Source organism: Homo sapiens, chromosome 6, assembly GCF_000001405.40.
Source record: "Homo sapiens chromosome 6, GRCh38.p14 Primary Assembly".
Classification (NCBI taxonomy): domain Eukaryota; kingdom Metazoa; phylum Chordata; class Mammalia; order Primates; family Hominidae; genus Homo; species Homo sapiens.
In genome coordinates, this window is record NC_000006.12 from 57,800,705 (window position 1) to 57,822,866 (window position 22,162).

At 41.4% G+C, this 22,162-nt stretch overlaps 1 long non-coding RNA gene and 1 other non-coding gene across 4 annotated transcripts; both read right to left on the reverse strand.

Moving 5' to 3' along the window:
- Positions 1 to 10,391: 10,391 nt before the first annotated feature.
- Positions 10,392 to 21,937, reverse strand: LOC105375102 (uncharacterized). Of its 3 annotated transcripts, XR_007059626.1 has the most exons (5): positions 20,179 to 20,655; positions 15,450 to 15,540; positions 13,179 to 13,306; positions 12,651 to 12,758; positions 10,392 to 10,713 (listed from the first exon to the last, which is right to left on the reverse strand). It is a non-coding gene; the product is annotated as an uncharacterized LOC105375102 (long non-coding RNA). The 3 variants fall into 3 exon arrangements; XR_926901.3 differs by lacking the exons at positions 12,651 to 12,758; positions 20,179 to 20,655 and adding an exon at positions 21,793 to 21,937 and having other exon boundaries at positions 10,437 to 10,713; XR_007059625.1 differs by lacking the exon at positions 12,651 to 12,758 and having other exon boundaries at positions 10,437 to 10,713.
- On the reverse strand, positions 15,270 to 15,342 carry TRA-AGC24-1 (tRNA-Ala (anticodon AGC) 24-1). The gene has a single exon. It is a non-coding gene; the product is annotated as a tRNA-Ala (tRNA).
- Positions 21,938 to 22,162: the final 225 nt, after the last annotated feature.

Here is a 22,162-nt window from a genome sequence, read left to right on the forward strand (position 1 = left end):
GGCTTTCCTAACTGTGCATCTGCTTACTTCCTGCAGACCTGTCCTTGGCTTGTGCAGGGTAAGTAAAGCCTCTCAAGAACTCCCATTTTTCATTTCTATTTCCTCCCTTTTAGCTTCCCACACTCAACTCGAGAGATACTGGACTTAAGGAAATGTCCCATAGAGCGCTGAGCCTTTCACCTCCTCTTTGCTTGTCTCACGGCTTTGTTAGACATGAAACCATCTTCTGGAAAATGTCTTCCCTGACACCTCTCCTACTTTTCTGAGTTTGGGTTGCTTTCCTCCTAGCACTCACGGAGATCCAGGTACGCATTTGTTTTAGCGGCATTCACCATGTTGGGATTGTCTGTTGCTTGGCCATCTTCTCCATGAGATCATAAGCTTCTTGGGGGTAGGATGCTTATTGCTGAATACTTTTAAAAGTCTGCATGAATCAATGAAGAGTGAGGGATATGTGTGCAGGCATGATGGAAAGAGTGTCTTGTGGTCCAAATGGGCTTCACGGGCCTGTAGAATCCATGCTATCGCAACATAGTGCATTTTGGTCAGACGAACAATAGGCTACACTATATGGTGATTGGTTCCATTTCACTGAAGGTACCTCTAAGGCTCTGAGTGGCTCTATATGCCCCCCAGGATTGGATAGTGGTAAACGACAGAGCATGCGCAATAGATCCAAAGTCAGGAAAGGTCTGAAATGTTTAACTTTGCTGAGGCTGAGAGACAGGAATGAACCCTCTTCCGCGATGGGAATTTCTACTCCACTGATCCATAGTAAATAAAACAGTGAGCCAATGCACCTCAAACCTGTATTTTCTACTACATAAATGTGATTGGTTTTGACATTTTCAAAATTCAAGTGATCAGAATGATTTAGAACTAATGTTTACAAAACTATAATTTAGGAAATCCTTAGCTGTAAGCAGATACACCTACACAGAATAAAGAGAGTGATATACCCTTTACTTCAGTGTCATTTATAACACTGGGGTAATAATACTTGGGGAAGCTGAAAAACGATATTGTCCGATTTACGTAAAAATTAAGAAACATTCAGTATAATTTCTGGCACATAGTCCTGAAAAAGTCCTTGTATGCGGAATATTGTTCACCTTTAAGGAAAATGCTTTCAAGGTCTGAGGAGAGATATTAATGCATTTCTGTTGCTACTGGCTGTTTTGCTCATGCAGTTGTAGCAACAAGCTTCTGTGAACATGAAAATGAAATAACGCTTAAAAAAACAAAATAGATGGTGGAGGAACACAATAGGGATGCATAGTAAGGTATGATTTTCTAGACAAAAATTGATTTGTACAAAAGAATGTAGTAAAGGATTTGTACCTGATTCTTTTTTATATACCCTTTGAAGCTTATTTAGCTTATATTCGAAAGCCTCAATTGTCTTCTTTCTCCCAGAAAGATTGTTTCTCTGTACCACGAACATTCTGGTCAGATTCTCTGCTTAAGCATCTTGACCTCTTGAGCAGTCATCTTCGTACTGAGACCCCGATATATGCCCAAATGATGCCCTTCCATAGGAGGGTTTCTTGCTTTGCTCAAAGAGCAATCAATTTTTCAAGCAATTTAGGGCTCTTTCCTCACCCAGTGTCTATGTGAAAACTTAGAGGGAAGGGAAGAACACATGCCTGTTCTTTCCAGGAAAAGAATCCTGATGGGTTCTAACCTCAACCTGTAAATCCACTAAGTAAGTTCCTACTGAAGGCCTATGATGCAAGCTCAATCCAGGAGGCCAGCACTCCACAGGGGGAAGGCAACCAAAGCAGTAGGTAATGTTTACTGAGCACTTACTTCTTTTTGATCAGATCCAACTCTAGGTGCTGGGATCCACCCAAAGAATCCCACAGTCCTTATTTCCCATGTACAGAAAGAAATTTGCAGTAGACTTTGTTACTGGAAAGCACTACTTGCTTTTTTTTGTTGTTTTTTAACAAGTATTTTAGAGTCCCTTAAATAAACAGACCATATACCTTTCCTTATCTAGGAATTCCCACTCCAATGCGCGGTCCACACACCCATTATTTCTGCTCATCTTCATTCTTCAAGGCCCATTCTTGGTTCTTTCATTCTTATTTGAAAGAATGTAACATGGAGGAATGTAGCAAACTAGTTTTTCCCTCGGAATTGCACGACTCATTGTCAGTAACTATCTTATGGTTTTTGCTGTTGTGACATTTAGTATGGATGTGTGCTATCTTTCATTAATATCCTCCATCTAGTAGTCACTGTTTCCATAAGGAAGCGCAGCCAGTGTGAACTACAGTCCAAAACCTCACATATGCATAGACTGGTTATGTAGTCTAAAGAAATTCCTGGCTCTGAGTCCTAATTCTGAAGGTAGTGTTAATCTTCAGTCCTTTGGTGTCTTATTCACTTAGGTTCATGCCAAGCTTATGGGGCCCAATGCAGGTCCCGGGAAAAGGAGGGAGGGATGTAATGCTAAACCTGTTCCTATTTCTACCCACCAGGTTTGTTGTTGTTGTTGTTTGTTTTTCAGGTGGAAGCTCAACAGCATCCATGCCATGGGTGATTGATGCTATGTTTCTCTAATGTTAGCAGTATCTTTTTCTAATGAACTCTCTCCTTGATGATCTCTTGTCATCTGTCTTGGCCAATGTCAGTAAGGGGTCTGCATGTAAAAATGCTCATAGGTACTTGAGATGTTCATCTTTTCCTCCTTGTTTGGGTGAATTGTTTCTTTCTTAATTCATTTATGCACGTGCACATACATGTATACATAAGTGTGCACATAGGTGCGCACGCACACGTGTAGATGCCTGTGCTTATATGTGTACATACAGGTATGCATACACATATGCATTCTCGTGTACATACATGCACGAATGCTCGCATGCATGTGTAGGTACGTGTATACAAACCTGATACACAAATAAATACGTGTACAAATGTGTTGATGCACGTTTACATGAGTGTACATGCATGTTAACATATGCGTATGCATCTACACATACACGTATACACACATACATGCACACATACATACTGTGTACACAATCAATGAATATGCACAAATGCATGCAGACTCACACATGTATTTGTACACGTGCATGTGTGTACATATGCGTGTGTGCACACATGTATGAGTGTATATGTGTGTATGTTTGTACGTATAGGTGTATGTATACATGTACACAGACGTCTGAATGCATGTGTGGGTACACATGTGCATTTGTATGCACAAGTACGTGTGTATGAACATATATGTTTGTGTACATGTATGCATCGTGCTTTTTTGCGCAAACATGTATGTATATATACATGTATTATGTGTGCATGTGTGCATGCAAATGCACATGTGTATGCACATGCATGTATACCCACATATCCATGTACACATATATGTCATGCATGCATGTGTTTGCACACAAATTTTTGTGTGTGCACATGCATGTGTGCACGCATGCGTGTTGTAGACATGTATGTGTGGATATGCACATGTATGTATGGACACTTCTATTCAGGCATACACACGCTTTCACGTGTGTGTGCACAGATGCATTTGTAGGCTGGTATACATGGTGTATACGTGTATGTATATATACATCATTCATACAAACATGTGCATACATGTGCACAATGCATACATGTATGCATACTTGTGTGCATGCATGCATACACAAATGCATATGCATGTACATGCATGCGTACACACGTGCATACACACGTACATGGGTAAACACATACACATGTACACACATACATGCAGACTTGCTTGTGAGCACATGTCTATCTGCACATATATCTACACACATACATGCATGCATACTCTGTACACAATACATGGATACACATACATCCATGCACACACACCCACATGCATTTGCACATTCATGTTTACATATCTTTACACACTCACACATGCACACACGTGTATATACATGTATACATACACACGTGAATGTGCAGCTACGTGTGCACATGCATGTACACGCATGTATGCATATGCATATGCATCTGCAAATACACACATGCATACACACATACATATGGTGTACATGCATGTATACGTAAACATGCGTGCGTGCATGTATACACATGTATGTGTAGATACCTTTGTGCATATGTTTACATGCATGTATGCATACACATGCTTGCACGTGTACCCACATACATTTACACATGCATGTGGTGTACACAGACATGTATACATAAACACGGGTGCAATCACATCTACATACACACATGCACCTGTAGATACATGTGTACATGTTCTGTGTGGAAGACATGTAAAGGGAGAAGAAAAGACACACACACAATATGAGGGTAAACAACGTTTATCCCACGTAAATGTCAATGCAGATATAATAAGCAAATGATATAGTAAGCAAATTGAAATAATAAGCAGACTGATATAATAAGCAAATTGCAATGGGAAGGAAAAAGACATATATATATATATATATATATATATATATATATATATATATATATACATATACATATACATATATATGTACACTCACCAGACTATGGAGGATTCACCAACAGACCGGGAAGCAACAGCCTGGGCTCCAGAGTTGGCCACCTGTCTGCCCACAGACGAGGAGAAGTCTCATGAAGCTTCAGCCCAGTCTGGAACCCTAGTTCTTTTTGTAACGAGTTGTTTGGCATGAGGCCCGGTCACGAGGGCCCTTCGCAACTGAGCTCAAGGATCACAAAAAGGTCAACTTGTTTTTGTGACTGTCTGTTCTTTTTCAGTAACTAATGTATAGGAATAGATTGAAATAGAGATTTCTCTGAAACAGCACTGGATGAACACCTCAATGGGTTCACAAACCTGTTCCAGACAGATTTCCCTCATGCTGTTCTCATGGCAATGAGTGAGTTCTCCTGAGATCTGGTTGTTGAAAAGTGTGTAACACTTTCCCCTTTGCTCTTTCTCTCGGACTCTGCCATGGTAAGGCATGCTTGCTTCTCCTTCGCCTTCCGCCATGATTGTAAGTTTCTTGAGGCCTCCCAGCCATGCTTCCTGTACAGCCTGTGGCACTGTGGGTCAATGAAACCTCTTTTCTTCATAAATTACCCAGTCTCCAGTAGTTCTTTATAGCAGTGTGACAATGGACTAATACAGGTGCCAACAAGTTCAATCACTGGCACCAAAATATGGGAGATACGGTAGTTAGATGCATGAGAAATGTAAAGGGGAGAAATGGGCAGATTGACTGCCTGAAGTTCCTTCTATATTGGGATTGGCCTGTAGTCCCAGGGCTTTTCAGGGACAACCAGATGTAGGCCTTTCCCACAAGACAGGTGTGGGAATCAGGAGAGAGGGAGCACTAGCATGAGGTCAACTTTGAGCCAGTCCCAGTGGGCTATGTGGAAGGATGAATGTAGCTAAGGAAAAAGAAGCAAAAGGAAGCTTTGAGTTTTGCAGTGGCTGGAAAAGCAGTCATAAAGAAGGGGGTACAGGAGAGTACATCATCATCAAGGGAAATGCACATGAGAATCCACAATCATGGATCGTATTAAAAAAATTATTCGTATTCAAACAGCTGAATGGAAAGCATGACACTGACCAATGACAACACCATTTAAAAGTAAGAACTTTATTATTCTCCCCACCACCCCTCCCTGGCTTTAACTCATCTTCCACCACAATTGAAGCACAGAAGTCTCAGAACAGTGGCTAACAAATGGTAGAATGTTAGGCTAAGAAAAGAGAAATGAAATGTTTTCCCTAGAAAACTATCCAAATAGTCATGACTCAACAGCCCCAGCAGGTAAAGGAAGAGATCTGATCTTTACGTCAAGTTTAAATTTTAGAGTGTTACATGGAGCTCAGCATCTTAACTTTGAGACTGAGACTGTATTGCCTGGGATGAGGCATAAAACTGTGTATGTCTTCATATGGAGGTAGGGAAAGAATGTATCCTACTGAATAAGATTAAAATGACACTGGGAGACCAAAACATATTTTTTGTATTATTAAATCCCAGAGATTGGCCACATTCATATTACAGAGTTTAGAGAGAACTAACTGATAAACTTATGTGGCTATCCCTTAATGAGCTTTGTTATTACTATGATTTTTCCCTGTCTGCTTATGTATTATTATGATATCTATATTATGATTTTGTTATGCCAAGTAATGACATCTCAGGGATCTGTGAGGCAGTACCTCATTTGGTATTCTAACCACATTTGACAAGTACAAAAATGTACACACCTTAGTCTATTTTGTGTTGCTAAAAGGAACACCTGAGACTGGGTAATTTGCATGACAATGAGTCATGCAATTCCGAGGGAAAAACTAGTATGCTACATTCCTCCATGCTACATTCTTTCAAATAAGAATGAAAGAATCAAGAATGGGCCTTGAAGAATGGAGATGAGGAGAAATAATGGATGTGTGGACGAGGCACTGGAGTGGCAATTCCTAGATAAGGAAAGGTATATGGTCTGTTTAATTAAGGGGCTTTAAAATACGTGTTAAAAAAAAAAAAAAAAAGCAAGTAGTGCTTTCCAGTAACAAAGTCTACTGCAAATATGAAGGTGAAAATGTAAACAACTTTGAGCCTGTCATGGTGGAATTTTGTCCCGCCCCACCTGTCATCAAATTCATGTCGAAACCCTAACTCCCAATAGGAGTTCTTATAAGAAAAGATGGAAATATGTGTAGAGAGAGAGACCGTGGGAGAATATAGCAAGAAGGTAAGTGACCATCTGCGAGCCAAGGAGAGAGGCCTCAGGAGAAACCAAAGCTAACAACCCTTCTAGCCTCCAGAACTGAGAAAATTTTCTGTTGGTTAAGCCACTCAGTCTGTGATATTTATTATGGCAGCCCTAGCAAACTAGTGCAGAGTGGGAGTTACAGTATCAAAATAAAATATTTAGGAAGATGCATTTATAAGAATCCGGAAGTTTGAGAGTACAGGAACCGGACCGGATAGGACAGTTTGTCCTGTCAGCTCCTGAGGTCAGGGATGGCTCAATTTCCTCTGAATCCTCAAAGCCTTCAGGTAGCACAGTGCCTGAAATGGAATGTGTCCTCAAGAATTATGTGGTGGGTCTGGGCACCGCACTTTGAGAACTAATGATTTAAGGTGTTTGTAGGGATGTGAGGGATAAAGGGCCAAGGATGCCTTGGAAATCTAGAACATAAATGCCGGGTACATGGCAGGTGGTGAATTACAGTTTGTTGAATGGACCAACGAATCTAAAATTCTATAGCTATTTGCTTAACAAATGAGTGTGGTAGTGTGGAGAGGAAAAGGGGAGATTACATGATCTAGAGGGAGAAAGAGGGCAGCACACTTTTTGGAAAACAAAGTCTGCTTTCAAGATCTGGTTTTGCCCCTTATCAGCTGTGGATTTAGTTCTGCTGAGCCTCAGTTTCATCAGTAAGATGGGGATAATGATGTATAGATTTATGGCAAATAAATAAATAAAGAAATTGGACTAAATGAAATTACGGGAATAAAATCTTTAATAGGGTATTTGCAACATAGAGGTGAAGAAAACATGAAGACTCATCATAAAATCAGTTGGTGATATTTTGAGGGGACTATCTCAGGTGACATAAGTGGAAATGCAAATTTAAATTAAGAGAGGTAAGTGTAAACTGCAGGCATGTTTGGGAGCTTTTCATTCATTCAACTAGCATTTAGTGAGAGCCCGCTATTCCAACTAACGGAACTGGACAGTAAATATTGCCTAATATATCTGAGGGGACGAAGATCCAGATCAATAGAAAATGAGATCAGGCATAATTGTTCAGTACACTATGGCTTCCGAGTGTGCGGTTCTTCCTATGGGCTAAAAAGGATCCTACGCGTGCCTATTGGAAATAATCTTGGAAAACTAGCGACCTTGGGCGAATAAAACTGAAGTACCAAAATAACCCGCCTGGGGAAAGAAATTAGGAAATTCCTGTGGAAGCTGGCGCGCCGTTGCACTTCGTCGTCTTCTTAGCGCAGTGAGCAGCGCGTCAGTCTCATAATCTGAAGGTCCTGATGTTCGAGCCTGAGAAAAGGCAGCTTTTGCAAGGAACGCTTACCTTCCCGGTACTTGTTATAGCTGTAACCCATATTCCCTTTACAGCTGGGGTATAATTCCTTCTTTTCTGAAATATCAAGCAAGTGGAATCGTGTCGGGCCCAGAGCTTCTGTGGGTGCTCGTTTGACACGCGCTCCCGGCTCCGCGCAGTGGCTGTTTCTGGATGAGTCTGGAGACTCCGCCTGCAGTCCTGTGCTGGCTCCACCTTGGCAGGGATGGAGCTCAGGAATGTTGAGTGGTCCCGAAAAACCAGGTGGAACACAAGACTTCTAGTCCGGAAAAATCCCCCACATGCCTCAAATAGCCAATAGCGGGGTAGGGGGCTGAGGTTAGCGGAATTTGTAACCCGCTCACTTGGGAGGCAGCGGCCTGCAGGGTCTGCGTCCGCATCCTCCGGCTTTGCTCCTTTCTTCCCTCTGGGTGGGCAACAGTCGCTTCCCAGTTGATCATCTGAGAGCTGTACGCCTGGGTGTAGATGTCGAATACATTGATCTTCTTATTTTTATCTGTTTTTATTTTTATGGTACACAGACGACAGGGAATCATTGGGCATCTTTGAAGTATAAATAAATCAGGTCTGTTTTTCCCCAAAAGGTTCCCATGGCAGGGGCTGGGTATACCTTGACCGACATCCAACAGACTCTATGTAGGCAATGAGGGAAAACCAAGGAGTGACGAGGGGCGGGAACTCCGAGCAGGTGCTCAAAGACGAAGAAAATCTGTGCTGGGCTGGGGTGGTCACTTTCTTCTCAGAGATGCAGAGTGCTACACGGCGAGTGGGAGGGTGGGCTCCCACTCCCTGTTACAGGAGCCGCTTGGAACTGGGGATTCAACCTGGGAAACAAGGAAAGCCTAGAGAAGCTAAGAAGAGAACCTAGAGAAGCTAAGAAGAGAAGCTAGAAGCATGAACGAGAGAATTTTGGGGAACAGATCCGGGCTTGGAGGGGAGACTGCGAAGCGCCAGTCAGCCTAAGGAAGGTTCTGATACCCAGTGGAATTTATAGAAAATGAATTCGGAAAGAGAGAAAGAAAGAGAGTGGTGGGCAGTCTGTCCTTAACGAGGCGTTATGTCCGCCTGCCAAGGATCCCATCGTCACTGGTCCTGAATCTATATTTCATCTGTAACGCCAGTCCTGAACAATAGTCTCAGAAATCCTTCAAACTCATGTGCCACACACAGAACCCGAGACAGTTTTTTCTCTTTTGTTATAGAGGCTCCTTGAGAGAGAAATGAATGTACAAAAATATCTCAGCAGAAAGTACTGAAAAGCCATCCCACCCCATCCATTCTCAGAGACTAAAATCAAGCTAGTCAGAGGAAGGGATTTACAAAGCAGGACTGCACTGTGGGACAATCCCTGCATTTTGGCTTTCCCTCACACCCTCTTCAAATTGAGCCCAAGCCCCACATTCTGAGGATGATACTCAGGACGTGAGGGGGCTCTGAAAAAGGGCTGATCCCTCCGCAAACTCAGGGTGATGCGCACAGCCTGGAGGAAATGAGAAAATTATCACAAGTCTTTCAGATTCACAAATGCCATATTCCCTTTGTTTTAAGGCCACGAAGATCAAGTAAGGACCCAAATAACTACCAAACATCTCAGAGAACGCTTTGGGCAAGAGTGCGGAGACAATCAATTGCCTTGTTCCCATTACAGTTTGCAGTTATTAATTTCATGGAAGAGAGCACGTCACACCTGGGGCAAGACACAGTAGGAACTGCCAGATTAAGTAGCACAGATATCCCGGAATGTTCTGCGGCTCTTGTATTTTAAGGAAGTTATGATTACTGACTGACTGTTGATGAGTCAACAGTTGATGAGGAGGAGGTTTTGGGGCTGGCCATTCCAGGCTCCACGTTCACACCACGGCACCACCATTCCTAGGGTGTCTAGACATGTATACTTGCAAAAATCATGTATATAGAGAAAATGATGTATTTATATGTGAGAGCACTTTTAAGTTTAAAACTTTCAATAAAGACTTTTTTTTTTTTTTTTTGAGAGTGCAGTGGTGCGATGTCGGTTCACTGTAACCTCCACCTTCCAGGTTCAAGCGATTCTTCTGCCTCAGCCTCCCGAGTAGCTGGGATTACAGGCGTGCACTACCACGCCCAGCTAATTTTGTATTTTTAGTAGAGATGAGGTATCGCCATGTTGGCCAGGCTGGTCTCAAACTCCTGGCCTCCAGTGATTTTCCCCCGCCCCCCGGCTCGGCCTCCCACCGAGCCTGGCCTAATAAACACTTTTTTAAATTTTATCATTTTAATTAAATATTTCAGACTTTAGATAGGAAAGGGAATGAGATAATTTTTGTTCGTTTTTCCAGGTTGCTGAACAAAATAATTACCAGAAAGAAATCAACATTTAGCTTTAATTTTTGATGCTACAAGACCCCTCTGGAGACAGTGTTCACGCAGTATCTGGAGAGTGTTGTTTAGGCTCCTGCTTCCTCACGCAGTCCCCTCCAACAATACTGTTGGTCCATTGTGCTTCCCACTGTCCTTAGTCCATCTCATCCATGAATAGGCCATCAGCTCCCCCAGACCAGCAGCGGTGGGCTTTCCTTTGAAATCTGGAGGGTCTGGAGGGCTGCACAAACTTCCCTCGACTTCGTTATCTCAGAGCATTGTGATGGAAAAGAAACATCCCATGCAAGTGGACAGCACTAGGTTGTGAACTGGAAGGAAGGTTGGAAAGGAGAGATACCCATTACACATTTCACTTTCTTGAACTCAGCAGCAGAGATAAGGATGAAATCAATAGCTTGAGAGAACTAGGACATTTTAGGGCCGTGTTTTGCATGTGTGTATGTACTTGTTGTTAATAAATTGGTAATAGATCATAAATATGATCTAATATTAACTTTTTTTTCTGATTGTCACCCATACAAAAAAAATTTCTCTTAATGGCTGATTATAAATAATAAAGTAAAATCTACAGATTTTTATGTTTTTTAAGACTCTTTTCATCCATAAAAGGTCCCTGGTCTTTCTTTTATGGATATTATTTTTTTAAATTGATAGACTTTTTTTTTAAATTGATAGACATTATTTTTTAGAGAAGTTCTGGGTTTAAAGAAAAATTGATCAGAATAGATAGAGTTTCCATAAACTCCATCATTCTCCCTCTCTTACAATTTTCCCTATTATTAACATCTTGCATCAGTATGGTACACTTGTTACAACTGGTAAACCAGTAATTAGTAATACATTATTGTTAACTGAAGTCCACAGTTTACATTATAGTTTGCTCTTTGTGTTATACATCCTGGGTTTTTTTTTTTTAACAAATATATAATGACATATATTTATCATTATAGTATCATAAAGAGTTAATGCCAGTTAATTGTTGAAGGAACTGGGCCTTTTATCCTTAGAAACACCTCTATGTTGTATTTATTTCATTGTATCTATTTCCTGCCCCTTGACATGTTTTTTAATCTACTCTATTTCTTGTAAACTGGTAGTTACAAGTAGAGGCTCACTTAGATTCAGCTTCAAATCTTTTAACAAGACAATTTGATAGGTGGGCTTGTGCACTTTCCATTGCTTCGCTTTATGAGGTACATAATGTCTGGTTCTCCAACTTTTAGTCACCAATATTAGCACTAATGTGTGGTTCAGCTGCCGTTCATAAATACATGTATATATAACTCGTATACTTATGTGAATGTATATATTTATGTGTTGATAAATAAAATGATACACAAAAATTAGAAAATAACATTGAAAGACTGAACATAAAAGTAAACAAGAAGAGATTAATTCTCGAATGCACAGTTTAAAAAGAATCAAAAGTATATCTTCAAGCTCCTTAGAATATAATGAAAATGGGGACTTATAATGACATATTTCTAAGGATTCTGTAGAAACTGCTTTCTCATTTTAAATTACACCTTGAATACCCAAGTTACAAAACATTAGAAGAAATCAGTGCATTAAATATAAGAAGTAAGAAGAAGAAGAAGAAGAAGAAGAAGAAGAAGAAGAAGAAGAAGAAGCCGCCCGAAAAAAAAAAAAGAAAAAGAAAAAAAAAGAAAATAGAATGGTGAAGGAAACACAGGAATTAACTAGAAAATTGCAAAATCTGATTGGTCATTTGAAAAAGAAGTGTAAAATGGTCAGCCAAATGTAAAATAATAATAATAATGATAAGGGGATATGGAGAAAGCACAAAGAAAAACCAAAAACATTAGTGAATGCTATTATTAAGATTTTAGAAATGTGGCAGGATAATGTTTTTAAGTATTGCTCTGTCTTTGATCTCCCTGTTTCCTTATCTGTTCAAGGCAGTAACCGTATTTTACAGAACTTTAACTCTACACATGGGGATGAAGCGAGTTGAACACAGTGTACATAGACAGCGTTTCGGTACTCAGGAAGCTCCCACTCTAGGGGAGAGAAAAACAAACCAGTATCTTAAAGACATACTTTCTGGAGGAGACGATATTTGTGAAGATGTAGTAGGAACTGAGAGATCGTGTGGGCATCACTTTTAGCTGTACTTGTCTAAAGACGGGAAATTTGCATTAAGACCTGAGTAGCTAGAAGTGCCAAACCTGTGGCAGGAGTGGAAAAGATGGGAGGATGGAAGCAGGGGCAACAAGACTCTTACATGGGGAGCAGTAAAACACGTGCTTGGGGGAGGCGGCAGTTTCCTCTGATCTTCTCCCAGATAAGAGGCACAGATGTCGTCAACAGGAGAAACAACGGGGAATACAAACTAAGAGACATAAACCAGATAAGAAACTGGAGAATGCGGGCGTCGATCCCGCTACCTCTCGCATGCTAAGCGAGCGCTCTACCGCCTGAGCTAATTCCTCACTGAGGAGGCCCGCCACCCCACCCATTTTCCTGGTTATCAGGAGCCTGCCGGTACTTTGGGCCGCCAAATCCCTGGCAGGACAAGATTGAGGGCGGAGCTTCTCAGATACTGCCTTGGGCAAACTTCTACGAGCCTGAGAGTGTGAAGAATACGGATTTCCAAAATAGGTCATGAGGGAGACCTCTCTCCTCACTTCCCAATTTCGCCTTCTTCATCTCTCGGAATTAGAGAGCACGTTCCAGTTGGAGAAGCACCACCTGGAACTGCCTGGCTTGCGGGCACAGCTATTCCAGCCCGCTCTAGAGTTGTGATCCTCACCTGCTCCCTGCAGGCAAGGCCACCCGGAAGTAGCGGGGCAGCTTCTCCCAGCCCCAGAACTTCACGCCATACGCGCCTCATCTTCAATAGCACTTTCCTCCTGTAGGACTCAGAAAGTGATGGAGAACCTTGGAGGAGTTGAGAAAGAGAAAGCTTGTGAATTTTCATCTCAATCTGTGGATTCATTCCTGAAGCACTTCTTCAGCACCAGGCACAGTGGATGAGGCCAGTGATCCACACAGAAAGTGCCACAACAATAGCAAGTAATAGTACTGTGCAATTGCCGTCTAGGCCCTATTTTAGATGCTGTACACATATTAATAGTAATGCAGGTAAAATGCCTAGAAATAGTTTATAATCTTCATTTTTTATATGAAAAATTATGGAAAATTGTCACCACAGAGCTCAGGGATCTCTCAGCCAAAAGGAAAAACAGATGCAGGTTATACCGTGTCTGCTGTGTAGGTGCTTCTCCTGCCATTTCCCTTCCCTGTCACCTTCCTCCCCCCTTCTCTTGCTCCATTGGGCACCACACTTGTCCTTCTTATGCCTGTCTAGTTCTTCAATTCCCAGGCCCACAGAAGAAGGCTTCCCCTGTAGCCCAGGGGAGGCTACATTAGCTCCACTGCCTTGGAGTTGTAGTGGATTCCAAATCTGCTTTCCACCTGTGAAGAATTCTCATTTAAGACAGGAAAATAGTTATTTTACTCTGAGTATAACTAGCGTCAAGTAGGATTTTTGCCTGATGAAAATTTGCTGAATGGAGAAAGGCTATACAGATAATTTAGAAGCCTCAAAGGAGAGAGTGGCTTCAGATCAGTAAAGACTGAAGAAAGGATTAGAAGCTAGGGTCTAACAAACCCATAGAAATGTTTTTGCCTGAAAAGGAAATGTGGTTGGGGAAGAGTGGAGGGGCACTACTTTCAGAGTGATTAGTGGGTGGAGGCATGGCCTTCATGGACCTGCAGGTGGTTTGGGGCAGCTTCAGGTCCCTCCTTCACGGTCCCAGTTTATTAGGAGAGCACATCCTGAGAATGAAAGAGGCTGCTCCTATGGGACAAAAATTCAACAACATGTTTATTATTTATGACATTCATTTTTGAGATCATTTATGAATAAGAAGATAAAATAGAAAAACATGTAATCAATAACATTGTCTTTCTATTACGATTAACAAAGGGCAATGCTGAGAAGTCAAATGGTGTCAGAGAGAGATTTGAGTGATGGGAAAGAAAGAAGGATGGAAAGAGGGGCACGTCCCAGGGACCTACAAGAGCTTCCTGGAGTCATCTATCCAAAGACCACTCTCTCCAGCATTCTGAGCTCTGCTTGGGCCAGTTGAGCTAGTCAACATATGTGTTGTTAATACAGCGCCTCATGTAGTTTCTTTAAATAGGGGATAGTGTTGCAATTTCAAAAATACATTTTTTTACATTTTGGTTCATCTTGGAAATTAGAGGAAGACCTAGGTCCCCATTTATTTTAAGCACATTTTTGTCAGAACGAGCTTTCAGAGAGATGAATAGAAGGAATAAATGTCACTTTTCTTAGTGAGAGTGTATCCGACCACTAGAGTTAATATGCTAGCTCCCACCTTCACTTATACTCCTTCCTTACCTCTCTCCTTACCTCTCTTACCTACACAGGAGAGAGGTAAGGAAGGAGTATAAGTGAAGGTGGGAGCCTGGCCAACTCTCAGATAATCTGATAGAAGACACGTTTTCATCCTCTACCTGACCATGTGTTGTCAATGTGAATAAAAGCAAAAGGTTGGCACATTCAAGTCTCCTGCTTTTGCCTCCTGACACTATTTCTAGGCTGTTTCTCATATTTTGTACCCAAAAGGCTAAAGTTTGATTTCCCCACAAAAATACATTGTATTAACTTCGAGCTGAAGCCCCAAAACCTGTATTGGCAAAACTCACTTGTGACTAATCGCTTCCTTTTTTGCTTTCGCATGGAATACTATGTATAATTTCCTTAAAAAAAAAAAGATGTACATAACAAGATGAAACTGAGTTAAACAAAGAGCGGTAAATCCGCTGAAAGTATTTACCAGATACCATTGGTAGCCTAGGGATTAAAAGAAGCTGGAGAATGCAGGCATCGATCCTGCTACCTCTTGCATGCTAAGCAAGCGCTCTACCGCTTGAGCTAATTCCCCCACACCACCTTTGTCTTTTCTGCCTATTTTTATAACTGGGACACAAATATCGTTCCATGTCCCACTTAAGTTTCCAGCTTTTCAAACACCTCCGGGAACTTCCCTACCAAGGCGAAGCGAGGAATGAAGTTTCTGGGAGACAGCCTCAGACCTGGAAGGCAGTGACCATCCTCTGCTTTTTCAATCTGAGTCGGGATCCTGAGAAAGAGAGAAAAGATCTCATTAGGAAAGCACTAGTTCTAATCTGATTTCACTCTCCCATTAGATGAAAGAGAAGGAAGTACCGTCCCTAATTAGCAGTTACCTCAAATGCTCTGTTGAATGCATCACTTTTTAAGAACACAAACCTGGAAATAAGCCCAAGTATCTTTTTATCGATTGATCCTTCAAGTAACTTATCTAATATCTGTGTTACTAATTGTTTCTCCATTCAGGGGAGTTGAAATCTGTTGTTACCTATTAATCCTTGATAGATTTAATTTGCATTTTTGTACTGATTAATGTTGTTGAACATCTTTTAGTGTGCCTATTGGCCATATAAGCATCTTATTTTGTGAAATGCCTGCTCAAGTTTTTTGCCCTTATCCTTACTGAGTGTTTCTATCACTGAGTTCTAAAATGTGTTTTATATTCTCCATAAAAGTCCTTTGTTATATGTGTATCCATAACACATATGTTGTATAACAACTATGTGTGCATATGACATATATTACATTTCTTTTCAAGTCTATGTCTTGCCTTTTCATTTTCTTAATATTGTCTTTCAAAGAAAAAGCATTTTAATATTTTATGAAATCCAGTGTATCTTTTTTTGTAAGGGCTCATGCTTTTCTGGTTCCTTCTGAAAAAGCTTTGCCTACATCAAATATGTGCAGACTTCTTTTCTTCTACAAGTTTGATATCTTTAATGTTAAGCTTTACGTATATAAACCATTTTGATTTAATTGTTGTATAGGATGTGAGGTAAGGGTAGGGAATCCTTTTTTCCATACTCAGTTGCCTGGGATCATTTGTTTAAAAAACTCATTAAATAACATTTTACCTCTGTCATAAATCAGTTGACCACATACGTTGGTCTATTTCTGGACTATCTATTCTAGTCCATCAATCTGGGTAAGTATCCTTGAGACAATACCACATTATTTTGATTACCTTAGCTTTATAATAAGTCTTGACATCACCTGGTGTAAGTCCTCTTTGTTTTTCTTTTCCTAATTATTTAGGTTACTCTAGGTCCTTCAGAATAAGCTTGTCAATTTCTGTAAAAACAAACAAACAAAAAGAAAAGAAAACAAAACAAACAAAACAAAAATCTCCTACTGGGATATTTGTTGTGATTGTAGTAAATCTATAGATCAACGCAGAGGGAAAAAAATGATATCTTAATAATATTACCTTTTTCAATCTGTAAATATGTCAAACAGCACCAATTATTCAAGTTTTCCTGAGTTTTTCTCAGCCATCTTTTGTAGATTTCTAGGTACAAGTCCTGTGCACATTGACAAGTTTATCTCTAAATATTTCATTTGTTTTAAACCTATTGAAAGTGGTAATTTAATTTTCCATTTTTTTGATGCTAGTACATAGAAATACAATTAATTTTTGTATATTGTAATCTGTGACATAGCTGCATTTACTTATAATGCTTATTTTTGTAGATGCACTAGGATTTTTTGTGTATCTGATCATGTTGCTTGCAAATGAATATATTTTTCTTATTCTAAAGTGAGTATGCCATTTATTCTTCATTCATGCGTTCCTTACTTTCTGGCACTAGCTAGGACTTTCAGTAAAATGTAGAAGTAGTAAGAACAGATATTTTGCACTTTTCTCCAATATTAAAGGGTACATATTTATTCTTCCACTATTAACTCTATTGCTAGTTGTAGGAATTTCTTAAACGCCCATTATTCATCTGAGGAATTTTCCTTCTATACGTAGTTTACTGGGATATTTTTTAAACACCACGAATGAATGGCAAATTTGGTCCAATATTTCTTCTGCATCTAGTGAGATGATTACATGCGTTTTTTTTTGTTAATGTAGTATATTACATTTAATTGACTTTTCAATGCTTAACTAATTTTTTATTCCCGAGGCAATCTCCCCTAACTCATGGTGCGTTATGCTTTACAGATAATGCTGGATTCAATTTGTTAATATTTTAATCCAGTATCTGTTGGTAAATGTGTCAGAGAAGGGTCTCCAAGTGTGGAACGCACCGCTTTCACAGCTCAGAGAAACATGGTGAGCACCGTGCTCCCTTCTAAGTGACGGGAGCTTCGAGATACAACAATGAGACTTTACTTTGGAGGAAATGTCTCAGAATTTCACAGATCCTAAAAACTTTCATTCACGAACCAGGTCGATGAATGGTTTTTGTGTTTCTCTCCCACCCTCTGGAGCATGCAGGGCTTAACAAAATCTATAACTTACTTGACACTTCTTGCTCATTGAAGATTTAAATGATACTATCAATACAGTGTACCAATGTTTTGCTGATGGTCCAGACAGTTCAATTCTCTTTGGACTAGATTAGGAAAAATTGGGGGACTTGATATACCTCTGGAGTAAGCACATAAATGCATACTTTTGTCTAGTCCATGTGAATATGAACTGTTTCTGTTCTTTCTTCCTGATAACAATAGAAAAAATGTATTCCCCAAATCAAAGACTGCATGCCAAAGACCATGCAATTTTTGCTTCTATGTTCATATTGTTTATAACATGATTAATTTATTAACTTTGCATTCCAATTCTATTTTCTTATGTATTCAAGTGAAAAGTGTTAATTATGAGAAATTCTGCACTATGGCACTGCTAATATTGCAATCTATATCCCAGACTTCGTTTTACCGACAGAAGAAAGAATACCCTCATCAATTTCTCATGTCTTCGGAAGAAGGGACATGGGTTTGTAGTGGAATTCATGACTTTTTCTGCCTGAATATTAATTAGCAGAAGCACGTTCCATTTCTTTATATAAACCCACTCTTAGAACCAAGGTGAACTGAGTGAAAAAAATACTTGCCTTTATATTTCTCTTATCAAACTAACCATAGTGGAAGAAACTGTGAAAATGGCTGGTGTCACTTCAGACGCAAAAGGAAAAGTGGCACATCATGTTCAGAATCCGATTAAATAGTGTCAGTAATTATTACCTCTGCTTAAAGGATTCAGAGCTGAGTTTGTTCAGCTACCCTGCCCTGACTAATGGCATCATGCAGGTGTACTTAGAAGTAAATTTAAAATTCCCCCTTACTTTAGGATCACACATCTCCTAGGGTAATTGCAGGAGTGATTGGGAAAGAGCAGTCTACTCTGAGGAGGTCAGATGGAGACCAAGTGAATCCTGTAGAATAGAAGTAGTGTCATATGACAAAAATGCAAATCCAACACTACTACGTCTTGGATTTCTTCTTTGTTTCCTTGATTAATTTTCTTGCTTCACTCCAAAAATCATAGCATAAAGCAAATTATTGTTCTACCTATTGCTTTCCACTTTACTCATCTTTCGTCTGGTGTCTGTGTGATTATGTCTCCATTAGAGACTGAGATCTGTTATTACCTATTAAATCCCTTCATTCCAGGATGTGGAACTAATTAGATAAGTTTCAGATTGTTGAATTTAGTGGTTATTTTAGAGGTAATTAGATAGTTAAATTTAACACTTGTAGCTCCACATAATGATGGAGTGCAAATATCTATTTATTCATAAATATCCATAGGCAGGGATCAGAATCAACATTTAGAAGACCTACTCCCTCAAAACAAGACGACCAAGAAAACAAATTGATTCTACTACCTTGGATTTATTAAACTTGCTGAGCAAAGAGCCGTACCTCTGTGGAGTCCCAGTACTGCCTAAAACAAGGGTGAGTCAGAGACCAGAATTTAAAGGGTTTGGGGACTGGAGCTATTCATAGGACACTTTTAGGGGGAAAGTTAGTAAGGTCCTTCTCAGGAGGGACTGGACAGAATTTCTTTTTCTTTTTCTTTTCTTTTCTTTTCTTTTTCTTTTTCTTTTTTTTTTTTTTTTTTTTTTGAGACGGAGTCTTGCTCTGTCGTCTTGGCTGGAGTGCAGTGGCGCGATCTCGGCTCACTGCAAGCTCCGCCTCCAGGATTCACGCCATTCTCCTGCCTCAGCCTCCAGAGTAGCTGGGACTACAGGCGCCCGCCGCCACGCCCGGCTAATTTTTTTTGTATCTTTAGTAGAGACGGAGTTTCGCCGTGTTAGCCAGGATGGTCTCGGTCTCCTGACCTTGTGATCCGCCCGCCTCGGCCTCCGAAAGTGCTGGGATTACAGACGTGAGCCACCGCGCACGGCCAGAATTTCTAAACTAGGCGAATCATAGGTTTATTCAGTGGAACTTAGCTGCTGGAACATGAAGATCTGCGCAGAGTTGCTGGATCCGTTTGGCTTTGGTCTTATCTTGGATCATCGGGTCTGAGTAAGCTGGTGTTAAAACAATTAGAGCTTAGTGTAGCATGGCAGGGTTTGTAGACTTGTCCTGTGCTGTAAGTCACAGGGCTTTTGCAACTTCTGTGTTTGTTCATTTCTCAATTTGCCCTCTTTCCTCACCAACAGAACTGCCCAAGAAATCAACTTACAGTATAGCTACTGGAACTTAGCTCCGAAAATGTCCTCTGCAAATCTAGAACACTTGTTTTTTTTCCAAATAAGAAAGTTGAAGAGCAAAACGACGTGTCTAACGTCACACATTGAGCTAAAGACAGATGGGATCTGGCATGCGTTTGTCAGTTAACAGTGCTAGCACAAATACAACTCTTGTTAAAATCGTAAGGATTTTATGTCGTGAGACACTCAGGACTCACCTGATCTCGGTGTTCAGTTGTGCGTAGTTTTTGATTTGCACCTCGCCCTTGGGCAAGTGCAGAATCCTGGGGTTATACAAAGCGCATCACAGTTAACCCCTTTGTCCCAGTCCGCAGAATGAGAGCTCAGAGCCCGGCCATGGGAGGCTGGGTTATATAGGCAGGAAAATCAAGGAACCCAGGTATGAGCAGGGGCGTTTGTGGCGCGGAGAGAGCTCCTATCCCTGCCGTCCATCTACGTCTCAGGCTTGGCCCCTGGCGTGCAGAAAACCGCATCTCCCGAAATCCCAGAACGTAAACGTCGCCCAGGTACTCGCTCTCTTGTCATTCTCCGGGATGTAAAAGACTCGGGGTCTCTTCACGGATCACTGAAACCGCCTTCTCCGAGGCCTCCAGGGTGACTAAAAGAAAGGGTGCGTGTTCTGTGTTCTCCCGCCGGTGTGTTCCTCTTCATGTCCAGCCGCTTGTGTCTGTGCCCGCTAGGGTCTCGGGAGTTTTTATAGGCACAGGATGGGGGCGTGGCGGGTCAGGGTGGTCTTGGGAAATGCAACGTTTGGCCGCGGAGGAAGGAGTGCCCGTCCTCACCTAGGTCCATGGGCACAGGCCCGGCGGCGGAGCCCTGCTCCCCTCCCTTATCAGTACCGCGGTTAGTGCTCTGCTTTATGGCCGCAGCAATCTCAGACACTTTCGGAGCGTGTTTTTTTTTTCTTGTCCTTTCGCTCCCCTTTTCGGGCGCCAGCTTTCAAACCAGACCAAAGGTGTGCTTTCCCCCATTATCTCCCAGCCTTCTTTCCTTTTCGCCTCTACTCAAGGCTGTGTCCACAATTAAGCTCTCAGGGGGAGGAGGCCTCCAGCTGCCTCAAGGAAGGGCATTTCTCGCAGTGCAAAGTGCGGAAGAGGGGAGCCATACCGACTGAAATCTTAACCAGAGTCGGTTTGCATAGAGGCTGCAATGGATAGAATCTCAGAAGTGAGGCGGAAAGACAGGCCAGCCCTGCGAAAGATGGATTGGAGAGAGGTGAGAATCTAGTTCAAAAGCCGGGAGAAGGAACAGGACATTAGCACAGTAGTCTAGGCAGAGAGCTGGACCATCTGTAATACGGCAAGGGGGTTGGTTGAGATTTCCTTTATTCAGTTATTCGAAATGTATCTATTGAGCTATTTATTAGTCCCTGGGTGCTGTGGGTGTTCCTGCGTATTCAACCACCTTGTCGACGCTGCAGGATGCGGCCCCATTACCCAGGACCCAAAGAACTTCCAAAAATGAATCCCGAGGAACAGCTGTTTCTCTACCGGAGAAGTGGGCAGCCAGGCGGAAACACGCAGGGAAATAGTTCTGTTTGGGACAGAAGGCATCAACCTCGTAAGACCCAGCGATCAGCAGAGCTCCCGGAGAGTGTTTCTTAATCTAAAGGTCATGAGTCGGGCTTCAAAGTTGTCTTGTCGTGCGTAAAATACCAATGGACTTACACCTGTTTCATCGAGAAGGAATACAATGCGAACACAAAGACTGTAATGGAACGTATTTCTCTAAAGTGTCCTTTTCAGATAGAAATACGAGAGCGTTTTCCTGAGCTTTCTAAAAATGGGGTGGGGTAGGGATCAAATACTCACTTTTGGGAAACATGGGCGAATACAGTGGGAGTCGTGCTGGAAGTTACGAGCAGAGGAGCCTGGGTGGGGACTTATATTGGCCTTGACGGCCCGTGGAAAGGAACTGGCGGCAATTCCTTCCGTTTTCCGTCAATTTCTTCACGGGTTGCTCGGAAGCTACGGAAGCAAAGTAGAAAGGAGTGATAGGGACAGGCCACAGTACCGGCGGACGGTGATGGCGTTGCGTTTAAAAGGGTGGTCACTGAAACCCTTTGTCATGAAACACTGAAGCAGGTGACATTTGAACTTTCCTTCCGCAGAATTGTATTTTAACTGAAATTTCCAGGTTAGAAGAAATTTGCCGAGGATCGTAACCAAGTTAGCAAAGATC